The sequence below is a fragment of the Homo sapiens genome, chromosome 2 (genome assembly GCF_000001405.40).
Source record: "Homo sapiens chromosome 2, GRCh38.p14 Primary Assembly".
Lineage (NCBI taxonomy): Eukaryota > Metazoa > Chordata > Mammalia > Primates > Hominidae > Homo > Homo sapiens.
In genome coordinates, this window is record NC_000002.12 from 169572181 (window position 1) to 169585480 (window position 13300).

The 13300-nt window shown below is 45.3% G+C and overlaps 2 protein-coding genes across 14 annotated transcripts in view, besides 5 other annotated features; one reads left to right on the plus strand and one right to left on the minus strand.

Moving 5' to 3' along the window:
* FASTKD1 (FAST kinase domains 1) overlaps nt 1–1685 on the minus strand; it is a 45358-nt gene extending 43673 nt beyond the window's left edge. For 6 of the 10 annotated variants that reach the window (NR_104020.3, NM_001322048.2, NM_001322049.2 and 3 more), the window contains exon 1: nt 1489–1685. The gene's annotated coding sequence lies outside the window, so the exon portion shown is untranslated. Of the gene's footprint in view, nt 1–815 lie in introns of all 10 variants that reach the window. The other 4 variants (XM_047445832.1, XM_047445830.1, XM_047445831.1 and 1 more) reach the window with 1 other exon arrangement.
* Nucleotides 1267–1436: an enhancer, noted in NCBI's record as "active region_16739". NCBI's record gives its function as "activates an Ori minimal core promoter by ATAC-STARR-seq in GM12878 lymphoblastoid cells {active_cell/tissue: GM12878}" and the evidence as "EXISTENCE:reporter gene assay evidence [ECO:0000049][PMID:35858748]".
* Nucleotides 1267–1896: a biological region, named in NCBI's record as "H3K27ac hESC enhancer GRCh37_chr2:170429982-170430584".
* Nucleotides 1292–1894: an enhancer, noted in NCBI's record as "H3K27ac hESC enhancer chr2:170429982-170430584 (GRCh37/hg19 assembly coordinates)". NCBI's record gives its function as "activates a minimal SCP1, AML or CMV promoter by ChIP-STARR-seq in primed H9 embryonic stem cells {active_cell/tissue: H9 hESC(primed)}" and the evidence as "EXISTENCE:reporter gene assay evidence [ECO:0000049][PMID:30033119]".
* Nucleotides 1797–1896: an enhancer, noted in NCBI's record as "active region_16740". NCBI's record gives its function as "activates an Ori minimal core promoter by ATAC-STARR-seq in GM12878 lymphoblastoid cells {active_cell/tissue: GM12878}" and the evidence as "EXISTENCE:reporter gene assay evidence [ECO:0000049][PMID:35858748]".
* Nucleotides 12087–12136: an enhancer, noted in NCBI's record as "active region_16741". NCBI's record gives its function as "activates an Ori minimal core promoter by ATAC-STARR-seq in GM12878 lymphoblastoid cells {active_cell/tissue: GM12878}" and the evidence as "EXISTENCE:reporter gene assay evidence [ECO:0000049][PMID:35858748]".
* PPIG (peptidylprolyl isomerase G) overlaps nt 12171–13300 on the plus strand; it is a 57056-nt gene continuing 55926 nt past the window's right edge. For 2 of the 4 annotated variants that reach the window (NM_004792.3, XM_017005302.3), the window contains exon 1: nt 12171–12310. The gene's annotated coding sequence lies outside the window, so the exon portion shown is untranslated. Of the gene's footprint in view, nt 12318–12619; nt 12720–13300 lie in introns of those variants that run through there. The other 2 variants (XM_005246967.2, XM_005246966.3) reach the window with 2 other exon arrangements.

Below are 13300 nucleotides of genomic sequence, written 5' to 3' on the forward strand. Positions count from 1 at the left end.
AATTGGTTTAACATGGTTATGCTTACATCATTAATATCAAAATGATTCCAAAATTCAAATTAAAGTAATACATTTTTTCTGCATTAACTAAAGACTTTTTCTTAGTCTAAACCAGATAGCAGAATTTGATCAAAAAATAAATGTCCAGAAAAAGGGGCTTCTTTCTGCACCCCATTTTAAAAGTGTTTTAAATCTGACATTTACATAAAGTTTTCAAATTTACCATAAAAGGAAAAAAAAAGCCCACAAACTCAGAGCTGTCTTTTCGAAAAAGAGGAAAATTGTTTAAAATAAATAATCACCTTCAAAGTTTCTAAAAAGTGTAGGCATTAATTCAGAGCCATATATATTTATACATACATATATATATACTTTTTTTTTTTAATTTTTCAGAAGTATGGTCTCAGGTTTATTTGCTTTCAGGATAATTTCTTGCCCCTTTTTCTTGTGCCCTTAAAGAGCTCAAATAATTCCTTTCTTTAGAAAATAAATAAATAAAAGAAGTCATATAATTTAATCATTACTGGCCTTGGATAGGTTTTAACCAATGAACGACACAATTAAAGCACCAATCAAGAAATACTAAGAAATTAAGTAATGTTTCAAGTCATGCTGAAACAATAAAAGAACTAAAGATAATTATGAAAAAAGAATAATTTGTTTTAAAAATATGCTATAAATGTTTACATTTATAATTGAGAAGTAATGGTTAGAAAAGCAGGGACTAAAGTCATATAATCTAATATTTCTGCAACATGTTACCATTTACAAAGAACGTTTGAAACACATTATCTCATTAAATTCTCTCAGCTAACCTTCCAGGTTGATATTATTTCCATTTTACAGATAAGGCAAAATAGGTTCAAAAAGGTTTAAAAAATCCTTCTAGTACTAGTGAAGCAGGGACTACAACTCAGTTCTTTCCACTTGAACAGCTTCATTACACAAACAAATCAACGCTGTATCACTAAATTCATGTCTCAGACCCCTCTCTACGGCTATGCCAAACAGTCTGTTCACAAGAAAAAACGACGCGACAGTACAGGCTATTTTGTGGCAAGCAGTACAGCATCCTGACCTAAGCTGACCTGGGTCACAAACCTGCACAAGAAAACCCTGCACAAATCAAAGGTATCCTCAAGATACTATATTCATCCACTGAGCTGCTCAAAGTGGAGGCAGCTCAATGGTTAGCATAGAAAGGTGTCGAGTCCCCAGCTTTGCCCCAGCTGAATGACCTTAAGGAAGGAACTTAACTACAGGAAGGGCCTTGGGACCCTAAGGGGTATCTTCTGCGCCGGGCATAAAGGAGAGCTAAACAAATGAGTGAATGAATGGGGTCTCAGCCCTGCCCTAGTCCATCCGCACTTCAGAGAACCCAATATCCCGAAGGAAGCCTCCGTATCTCAACTGAACCCTATGTCCCCAGCCCGAAAACGTGCTGGGTGGGAAAAGAAAAATAGCCGCTGCCACACAGTCCCGACTTGCCAGCAAGGTTTTCCCTCAGCGCGCCGCAAATTTTCTGGAGGATCCTGGGGTTATGAAAGCTCAGAAGTCAGGGTTATTCCTGGTCCCAACACGGAACGAAACAGGCTCGGATGTCTCGCCCAACCCTCATATCTCAGGGTTTATAACCTTTCTTCGAGAGACATGACCTTTCCCATGAGACCTTGCCCCCAAACCAGGAAAAAATGCCCGGCAGGCGCAGCGTGCACTGCGGAAGTCACGCACTACATATCCCAGGGTGGGTCGCGGCGAGGTGGGTGAAATGGACGTCGCTCACGCATTTTGGGGGAATTCTGGGCATTGTAGTTCCTCATTGAGGGAGGCTCTAGCGCAGTACACAGCTTAAGCTGTTGAAGAAGATATAGGTCGTTTAGGTGATTCTCTACTATCTAAGGTTGTTCTCCTAGTCCTTGGAAGTCTACTACTTTTATAATATACACAAAAATATACTTAGGAAAATGAAATTTAAAAATGTAAACATGGAAAAGACACGTACAGATTTTTCTTATTATTTTTTAGCATATACGAAATAACTCTGTCGAGTAACTTTGAAAGTATGCAAACTCATACTCTCAGTTTCTGCACTTATGTCGTGGATAGGTACCAGTTCTCAGACCATATTTTTTTTTTACTTACCATGGTATTTTAATAGTCCCAAGATTTGACACTTGACACTTAAAAAAAAAATACCACTAATAAATAACCAAAGTGGAATGCTTACCAAAGTTACAACAGACATAATTTTCAGCTGATAATCACTACAACAAAGTAAGGCTCTAAAGGTACCAAACTGATATTTGTTGGAATATGCTGTGCAACTTTCTTTTTTTTATTTTATTTATTTATTTTTTTTATTGATCATTCTTGGGTGTTTCTCGCAGAGGGGGATTTGGCAGGGTCGTAGGACAATAGTGGAGGGAAGGTCAGCAGATAAACAAGTGAACAAAGGTCTCTGGTTTTCCTAGGCAGAGGACCCTGCGGCCTTCTGCAGTGTTTGTGTCCCTGAGTACTTGAGATTAGGGAGTGGTGATGACTCTTAAGGAGCATGCTGCCTTCAACCATCTGTTTAACAAAGCACATCTTGCACCGCCCTTAATCCATTTAACCCTGAGTGGACACAGCACATGTTTCAGAGAGCACAGGGTTGGGGGTAAGGTCATAGATCAACAGGATAAGAATTTTTCTTAGTACAGAACAAAATGAAAAGTCTCCCATGTCTACTTCTTTCTACACAGACACAGCAACTTTCCGATTTCTCAATCTTTTCCCCACCTTTCCCCCTTTTCTATTCCATAAAACCGCCATTGTCATCATGGCCCGTTCTCAATGAGCTGTTGGGTACACCTCCCAGACGGGGTGGTGGCCGGGCAGAGGGGCTCCTCACTTCCCAGTAGGGGTGGCCGGGCAGAGGCGCCCCTCACCTCCCGGACAGGGCGGCTGGCGGGGCGGGGGGCTGACCCCCCCACCTCCCTCCCGGACGGGGCGGCTGGCCGGGCGGGGGGCTGACCCCCCCACCTCCCTCCCGGGCAGGTCGGCTGGCCGGGCGGGGGGCTGACCGCCCCCACCTCCCTCCCGGGCGGGGCGGCTGGCTGGGCGGGGAGCTGACCGCCCCCACCTCCCTCCCGGACGGGGCGGCTGGCCGGGCGGGGGGCTGACCCCCCCACCTCCCTCCCGGGCGGGGCGGCTGGCCTGGCGGGGGCTGACCCCCACCTCCCTCCCGGAGAGGGTGGCTGCCGGGTGGAGACGCTCCTCACTTCCCTGACGGGGCGGCTGCTGGGCGGAGGGGCTCCTCACTTCTCAGACGGGGCGGCTGCCGGGCGGAGGGTCTCCTCACTTCTCAGACGGGGCGGCCGGGCAGAGACGGTCCTCACTTCCCAGACGGGGTCGCGGCCGGGCAGAGGTGCTCCTCACATCCCAGACGGGGCGGTGGGGCAGAGGCGCTCCCCACATCTCAGACGATGGGCGGCTGGGCAGAGACGCTCCTCACTTCCTAGATGGGATGGCGGCCAGGCAGAGACGCTCCTCACTTCCCAAACGGGGTGGCGGCCGGGCAGAGGCTGCAATCTCGGCACTTTGGGAGGCCAAGGCAGGCGGCTGGGAGGTGGAGGTTGTAGCGAGCCGAGATCACGCCACTGCACTTCAGCCTGGGCACCATTGAGCACTGAGTGAACGAGACTCCGTCTGCAATCCCGGCACCTCGGGAGGCCAAGGCTGGCGGATCACTCGCGGTTAGGAGCTGGAGACCAGCCCCGCCAACACAGCAAAACCCCATCTCCACCAAAAAAATACGAAAACCAGTCAGGCGTGGCAGCGCGCAGGCACTTGGCAGGCTGAGGCAGGAGAATCAGGCAGGGAGGTTGCAGTGAGCCGAGATGGCAGCAGCACAGTCCAGCTTCGGCTCGGCATCAGAGGGAGACCGTGGAAAGAGAGGGAGAGGGAGACCGTGAGGGAGAGGGAGAGGGAGACCGTGGGGAGAGGGAGAGGGAGAGGGAGAGGGGGCAACTTTCTTATTGTGTGGGTTACAGAGGAGACTCTTGGTTTATGTGGTCATGGTTATTGTCATAAAACCAGTTTTAGCACAATTTTCTTTTCTTTTCTTTTTTGAGACAGGGTCTCACTCTGTCTCCCAGGTTGGAGTGCAGTAGTGCAATCTCCGCTCACTACAACCTCCGCCTCTTGGGTATAAGCGATTCTCCTGCCTCAACCTCCCGAGTAGCTGGGACTACAGGTGCACACCACCATAGCTGGCTAACTTTTTGTAGTTTTGGTAGCGACAGGGTTTCCCCACGTTGCCCAGGGTGGTCTCGAACTCCTGGGCCCAAGCAATCCACCCACCTCAGCCTCCCAAAGTGCTTGGGATTAGAGGCATGAACCACCTTGCCCAGCCTAAATTTTCAATAGTTCTGACAGTCTATGCAAAATGTTGAGGCATGCTCACACTGGAAAAAAATTAAAACTTGAAGACTTCCTTCTAGAATGTCCAGTAACCAATATATATTTATTCTGACATTTCTGAAAACAGAGCAAAACGAAATTGAATAGGTGCTGGCATTCATCTGATGTATCAGGTTTATTTTATGACTGACTAGTCTTAATACTCCTAGATGTCGGGGTGTATAGGCAGCAGAACATTTTAAATTTGTTCAAGTAGAATATGGGAAAAATTAGAGTCAAATGAGAATACATTTTTTGTCTACTGTCAGTAACCTTCAATTAACCATGAAGACATAGGGAATGAATGGTTAAGCCATCAAAACTAAAATAGTTGTTTGTTTGTTTTTTCGAGATGGAGTCTCAGTCTGTCACCCAGCCTGGAGGGCAGTGGCCCAATCTCAGCACACTGCAATCTCCACCTCCTGGGTTCAAGCAATTCTTCTGCCTCAACCTCCCAAGTAGCTGGGACTACAGGCATGCACCACCATGCCCAGCTAATTTTTGTATTTTTAGTAGAGAAGGTGTTTCACCATGTTGGTCAAGCTGGTCTCAAACTCCTGACCTCAAGTGATCCCCCAGCCTTGGCCTCTCAAAGTACTTGGATGACAGGCGTGAGCCACTGCACCTGGCCTGATTGGATTTCTTCACTAAAAACTTGATTGGTCATTTGACTTCCTTTATCAGGAGGCTGCTAAGACATAGAAAGTCTCTGATAGCTGGGTCTTAAAAAAAAAAGAAAAAAGAAAAAAAGAAGTTAACTTTCGTTTCAAGTCTTGTAAAATTTCCTAGCTTTCTTAGGTTGCCAATATTTACATTGGGGAATACGGTCTACTTCACTTTTTGGTTTGGAGATGAACATTTACTCATTAAAAAATTGTTTCCCTCAACCAAAGAGCCGTGGTTTTGAGATCTGATACCAATGATGTCCTCGTGAGTTTTATTGCTCTTCTTCTCAAGTTTTTTTTCTCAATTAAAGGTACAGCCAATCCCATGGCTTGCTTGGTGATTTGTAGCATCTCTGCAATGCACCAAGGGGTATTTTTTCCATCATCTTCGGGATTGCGAATTATAGATCTCAATGTGTGGAAATAGCCACCTGCTTCTTGATGTCTGCAGTGCAATCGCAAGAGCAATAGGTTCAGGACCTATTCCTATGTTTTCTAGGTCTTCTAGACTTAGCCACTGACACTGGTTTACTTTATCAACTTCATCCTCTTAAGAGGTCACAAAGTAGGCAGAGTTAGAAAGCAGCAACAGCACATCACATCTCTGTGAGTAGCACCAAGGAGGGTGCACTCTGAAAACTGTTGCTTTAGCCAAGCCATAAAAATTACAACACAGGCTGGGTGTGGTGGCTCACGCCTGTAATCCCAGCACTTTGGGAGGCTGAGGTGGATGGATCACAAGGCCAGGAGTTTGAGACCAGCCTGGTCAATATGGTGAAACCCCATCTCTACTAAAAAAAATACAAAAATTAGCCGGGCATGGTAGTGCATGCCTGAAGTCCCAGCTACTTGGGAGGCTGAAGCAGAAGAATCAATTGAACCCGGGAGGCGGAGGTTGCAGTGAGCCGAGATGGCACCATTGCACTCCAGCCTGGGCGACAGAGCAAGACTCTGTCTCAACAACGACAACAAAAAAATTACACCACAATACATTTTAATATGAAATAAATTCTACTCCTACTAATTAGTGTTACTTTCATCTTAGCTTCCAATTTTTGCATTAATATTTACATCAGCCAGGCCAGGAACCGTGGCTCACACCTGTAATCCCAGCAGTTTGGGAGGCTGAAGCAGGCAGATCACCTGAGGTTGGGAGTTCTAGACCAGCCTGGCCAACACGGCAAAACCCTGTCTCTACTGAAAAATACAAAAAAAAAAAAAAATTAGCCGGGAGTGGTGACACGCACCTGTAGTCCCAGCTACTCAGGAGGCTAAGGCAGAAGAATCGCTTGAACCTGGGAGGCGGAGGTTGCAGTGAGCCGAGATTGCACCACTGCACTTCAGCCTGGGCAACAGAGTGAGACTCTGTCTCAAAAAAAAAAAAAAATTACATCAGTCAAACATGATCCTTAGTCAAAAATATGTCATTAACAAAAAGCACTTGGCACTTAACAGATGGTTGAAAAATGTCACCCTCCCCATCCTCATTTTTTCTAAAATCTTAGCTGCGGTAAATACTTAATTGTCCTCCCCATCCACCTTTCAGGGGGTGGGAGGTAAATCACATTTAATGTGAACAAGAGACAAAAAGAAAAACCCTTTAGGTACCTGCCTACCCCCCACGTTTGCCACTCCAAAGGAAAAGCTGCTCTATTCAGTTTTGTTTTCCCACCACTGAGGCAAGCCCTCCTTCCACACTATGAAGACATAAATTACCAACACCAGGTGAAGCCCGACCACTGCAATAATGGCCACTAAAAGGCACTGTCTTCACGGGACATTAACATCAGACTTTGGAGAAGTAATCTACAGGAAAAATGTAACCCCACAGAAATATTAACCATAAACCCCGCAAAAAGGAAAAAAAATCTTGAAAGTCATGGCCAGAATGCCAACAGAGTTGGGCTCCACGGCAGTGACTGCATGATTGGCAGAGCCTGTGGGAGTCCACCATTATCAGTCAGTCTGTCCAGTGGTCCATGCCTCAGAGCTCAGACAACTGCCTGCACCCAACCTCATGCCTGTAGCAAATGATGCCAATGCAGCAAACGCAATTGGGCAGCTGGGACACGTCTAGCTTCTGGATGCTCACTTCCTGACAGTTGGCAGCCCACACTTTTTTTTTTTTAAACAGCTTTACTGAGATTTCATTTACGTCCCATAAAATTCACCCATTTAAAGTGTACAATTCAATGGCTTTTTAGTATATTCACAGAGTTGAGAAGCTATCACTCACATTTAGAACATTTTCATAACTCCAAAAAGAAACCCTGTAACCATTAGCAGTCACTCCCCATGTCTCCCTCACCCCCTCCTGTCCTCCAATACTTTAGACAACCACTAATCCCAGACAATAATTTTATACAGCACTGATTTGGGTTGCTTGGAACTAGATCAACTGATAATAGATCTGAGATGAAGGTAATCTGAATGCACAGCATAGAAGGGGTTTTCAAACAAATGTAAGAAAAACATAGAGATGAAACAGCATGATCCAAGTCATTGCCTTCCAGTCAAAAAACACCAGGAACACATATAGTTAAACAAAGTTGGGTTTATTGACTGGTTGCAATGAAGTAGGCTGTACCCTAAGAGGTGTCTCCATAAGAAGGTGTTAGAAAGTTGTCATTATAGCATATAGTCTTGGCCAGGCACAGTGGCTTACACCCATAATCCCAGCACTTTGGGAGACTGAGACAGGCAGATCACTTGAGGTCAGGAGTTCGAGACCACCTTGGCCAACATGGTGAAACCCCATCTCTACTAAAAATACGAAAATTAGCCAAGCATGGAGGCACATGCTTATAATCCCAGCTACTTGGGAGGCTGAGGTGGGAGGATCACTTGAATCCGGGAGGCAGAGGTTGCAATAAGCCAAGATTGCACCACTGCACTCCAGCCTGGGCAACAGAGCGAGACTCTGTCTCGAAAAAAAAAATTTTTTTTAGCCTTGTGTTAAGTGATTTTGGAGAGTTTTAGAGTGGTTTCTCTAGATTGGATGCTGTGAGTAAGCAAGGGTAATTCTATTCTAATAATCTTGATCTAGAAGGCAGGAAGAATGAACTGAGGTTAAAGCTGTAATTGATAAAGAAACAGCAGCCATTCATATTAGCAAGGATAGATGGATATTTCGTCTTTTTTTTTTTTTTTTTTTTGAGACAGAGTCTCACTCTGTCACCCAGGCTGGAGTGCAATGGCACGATCTCAGCTCAATGCAAGCTCCACCTCCCAGGTTCACACCATTCTCCTGCCTCAGCCTCCCAAGTAGCTGGGACTACAGGCGCCTGCCACCACACCTGGCTAATTTTTTGTATTTTTAGTAGAGACAGGGTTTCACCGTGTTAGCCAGGATGGTCTTGATCTTCTGACCTTGTGATCCGCCTGACTTGGCCTCCCAAAGTGCTGGGATTACAGGCGTGAGCCACCATGCCCGGCCGATGTTTGGTCGTTTTTACAGTTTGTACAATGTTCTTGTTTTTGTCTGAAACAAGATTATGGAAGTGTCTGGTTTTTTCCTTGATCCATCACAATCAGAGAATGGCATGCTTTTAAAAAAAACTAAACATATTATTGGTGATACAGTAGACAACTATTAATAGAACAAACAACAGTTTGTTGTTGATCTATGGGTAGAAACAAAAAGTTTTATTACTCTAAAGCAAAAGTCACAGGTAAAGTAAAGGTTAATTGCAGTAGCCCAGCCAACCTACCTCCCTTCTTCTGGTATCAAATCCCATTCCTCATACTACAATGACTGAAGTGATCCAGGCTAGGCCAAATCTAATACTTTAGGCTCACAGCCTATTAGATTGGTAGTGGTATCTGGTGTAACAAATAAAGCCAAACATCAGTGATTTAACCCACATAATTTGATTTATCAGTCACACCACATTCCAATGTGGATATCCCTAGTCAGTGGAAGAGGACTTTTCTCCAAACAGAGATTCAGGGAAGTAGACCTTTTCCATAGGCCCTTCCCCAGGGCCTTAAAACATTCTGGTTCAGCTGACAAAACAGGAAGAGAGGGAATGGAGAAGGCATAGCACTTCACAAACATTTTGGCCTGGATGTCCGCTCACTTTCCACTGACACAAAGTATATTTTATTTATTTTATATTTTATTTTATTTTATTTTATTTTATTTATTTTGACATGGAGTCTTGCTCTGTCACCCAGGCTAGAGTGCAGTGGTGCAATCTTGGCTCACTGCAACCTCCACCTCCTGGGTTCAAGCGATTCTCCTGCCTCAGCCTCCCAAGTAGCTGGGATTACAGGTGCCCACCACTGTGCCCGGCTAATTTTTGTATTTTTAGTAGAGCTGGAGTTTCACCATCTTGGCCAGGCTGGTCTCAAACTCCTGACCTCGTGATCCACCCATCTCAGCCTCCAAAAGTGCTGGGATTACAGGCATGAGCCACCACGCCCGGCCCCAAAAAGCATTTTTAAATCCTTACCTATGGGATAATAAATGTTGTTTCAAGCCACTAAGATACAAGGGGACAGCTAAAAAATGTAGTTCTTAGCAGAACAGACACTTTCCAGTGACACCCCCTACTATGTAAGTGGGAGTACAAATTTTGGAGCTGTTACTGCTATGTTAGTAAAATACTTCTCTGGCATTTGATGATTCGGGCTGGCAGAAACTCAGATCCTTATGATGTGAGGTCATCACTGGGTGAGGTGGTACATACCTGTAGTCCCAGCTACTCTGGAGACTAAGGTGGGAGAATCGCTTGACTCCAGGAGTTCAAGTCCATCCTGAGCAACATAATGAGACCCTGTCTCTAGAAAAAAAGAAAAAAAATGAAGCTATGTAGAATTAGACAAGTGAAAAGTTCCGTGATAATCAGTCTATTCTTTCTTCTCTGTGTCAGTTATCCCTTGCTGTGTGACAAAATCATCCCAAAACTTAGTGGCTTAAACAACACTTATTTATATATATATACACATATATACACACACACGTACATATATGTGTGTGTATATATATGTATATATACACATATATAGTATATGTATACATACACACACTAGGATAATAAATATATATATAAATATATATAAGGAAACTATAGGATAACAAATGTTGTTTATTATATACACTATACATACAGTATCCTTCCATTTATTTATTTTTATTTAAGTTGTGGGGTACATATGCAGGTTTGTTACAGAGGTAAACTTGTGTAATGGGGGTTTGTTGTACAGAATATTTCATCACCTAGGTATTAAGTCTAGGACCCATTAGTTATTTTTCCTGATCCTCTCCCTCCTCCCACTGTCTACACTCTGATAGGCCCCAGTGTGTATTGTGCCCCTCTATGTCTTCATGTGTTCTCATCATTTAGCTCCCACTTATAAGTGAGAACATGTGGTACTTGGTTTTCTGTTTCTGCATTAGTTTGCTAAGGATAATGGTCTCCAGCTCCATCCATGTTCCTGCGAAGGGCATGAGATCATTCTTTTTCATGGCTGCATAGTATTCCATGGAGTATATGTACCACATTTTCTTTATCAAGTCTACCATTGATGGACATTTAGGTTGACTCCATGTCTTCGCTATTGTGAATAGTGTGGCAATGAACATACATATGTGTATGTCTTTATAACAGAACAACTTATATTCCTTTGGGTATATACCCAGTAATGTGATTGCTGGGTCAAATGGTATTTCTGCCTCTAGGTCTTTGAGGAATCGCCACGCTGTCTTCCACAATAGTTGAATTCATTTAAACTCCCACCAGCACTGTAAAATGTTCCTTTTTCTCCACAACCTCACCAGCACCTGTTATTTTTTGACTTTTTAATAATAGCCATTCTGACTGGTATGAGATAGTATCTCACTGCGGTTTTGATTTGCATTTTTCTGATGATTGGTGGTGTTGAGCTTTTTCATTATGATTGTTGGCTGCAAGTATGTCTTCTTTCGAAAAGCGTTGGCCGGGCGTGGTGGCTCACACCTGTAATCCCGGCACTTTGGGAGGCCAAGGAGGACGGATCACCTGAGGTTGGGAGTTTGAGACCAGCCTGACCTACATGGAGAAACCCTGTCTCTACTAAAAATACAAAAAATTAGCCAGGCCAGTCTGTGGCCCAGGGGTTGGGGACCCCTGTTTTAAGGTATTGCAGAATTGTCCCCTCCACACACAGCGAAGTGTAAATCCGTTTAATCTCTGAACTATCTAAAGATGAATATGCTGCTGCTCTCCTGCAATAAAGGGCAATGACTTAAAAGAGGTGGGGGTGGAGAGGCAGAAATGTCCTCTGTTTTACTGCTGTGTAAAACTGGTCACGCCCCTTAGAAGCACCACCACATGCCTAACTGTTGTTGATAATTAATTTACCTGATGCAAGTGAGTGAAAAATTTAAATGATCATAATTTACGTTGCCTTTAAACGACAGAACAATTTAAGTCCTCTAGTTAGCTAGTTCCTTTAAAACACACCCCACATCCCTACCAGAATCACTGCCCATCCCCCCCCACCCCCCCGCCCAAACAGCAATGGTTATTTATTTCTAACATAATCCGGGGACCCTTGCCCCTTAAAATAATTAAATAATATATGCCATATTTTCTCTAGAAGGCACTAGATTTGGCATCAAAAGACTTGCTTTGGCATTCAAGAACAGTGTGTTTGAGGAGGAGGCGTTTATCTTCCCTGAGCCTCAATTTCTTTATCTGTAAAACAACAAAGAACATCAAAGCTCTTTGTAATTTCTTCCTCTTTCCTCAAATAACACTTTGCTCATTACTGCGTTTTTAGAACTTATATCCTAGCGTTAAGTGGAAGCTTAACTGGAAGCTCCATGAAGGTAGGCCTTCCTTTCTGATAACCTAGCGTAAGATCAATAAATGTTTATTAAATGAGGCACTTTACTTCACAAAGGATATGGCATTTTAACGGTTACAAGCGTTCCCAGTCAACGCATCCACAAAGCATTAGGCCACCTATAAACTAGGAATTTAAAAGGCACCAAAATCCTAGAAGTCCTAGGAGGGCGTGGTGACGCAAGCAGGTGAACGCTGGCCGATGCTGACAACCCACTCCTGACGCGCTTCCGGTGCGACGCTGTCTCTCCATGCCAGGACTGAGTTGTGGGGGAGGGAGGCGGTTAGCGGGCTTTAGCGCCTTTTCTGGCGGCGGTAGATTTGAAGCGCTTCAAAGGACCGGACCCAGAGAAGAGGAAAACTCTACCGGTGCAGGTAAGTGGTATGAGGCTCAAGTTGTTCTGGCGGCGTCATTTCAGCAGTCCCTGCGTACGAAAGCGGGAAGGGCCTGGGAAGAGGGGCGGAGCCGGCGCGGCTGACCGGGTTGGGTTTACCGTCTTTCCCTCGAGGTATCGGGGCTGCTTGGGCCCAGAGGAAGTCCCTGAGGACCGCAGCAGTGCCTTTGCCGCTGTTGCAGAAGGAGAAGGCTTGCAGTCGAGCCCCGGGGCCTGGGGACGGTCCTTCCTCTGCCAGCCCCCGCCCTCCCCACTCAGGCGCACACCTCCCTCACTGACGCATTTTGCCGCACAAGCTGTAACATGGCGGCAGCGACTGCGGCCTGAACTCTAGGGAGCCGGGTTGATTTTTAAAGCTTCAAAATCCTAAGACTCAGCACTGTTGCGGGGTAGGTGGCGGGACTGGTGGGGAAGGGGGAGACAGCCTGACGTCCTGTCAGGCTAGGGTTGGAGAGTGACGGGCGAAGAGCCTGAATCACAGGGATTAAAATTGAAGACTAGCTTTCCTCCTCTTTCGACCTTTTCCTCTCACAGCACAGTGGCTGTCGTGCAGTTAAGTGGCAGAGGCCACTTTGTTAAGCATTTTTCTAAAACTCAAGTCCAGGGTCTTGAGCTCTCGCGAAGTTCCCCCGTGTTTCGGAGGAGCTGTGAGCTGCGCAGGCCTTTTAGGAGGAGATAATTACTCTTTAGGAGGAAGATGATGATTTCGGGGCTCAGTATGCCTGAAGGGGAAGTATGCTAATTTGGTTCTTGGTTAGTCTTTTTTTTTGAGACGGAGTCTCGCTCTGTCGCCTAGGCTGGAATGCAGTGGCGCGATCTTGGCTCACTGCAACCTCCGCCTCCTGGGTTCAAGTGATTCTTCTGCCTCAGCCTCCCAAGTAGCTGGGACTACAGGCACGTGCCACCATGCCCGGCTAATTTTTTGTGTTTTTAGTAGAGACGGGTTTTCACCGTGTTAGCCAGGATGGTC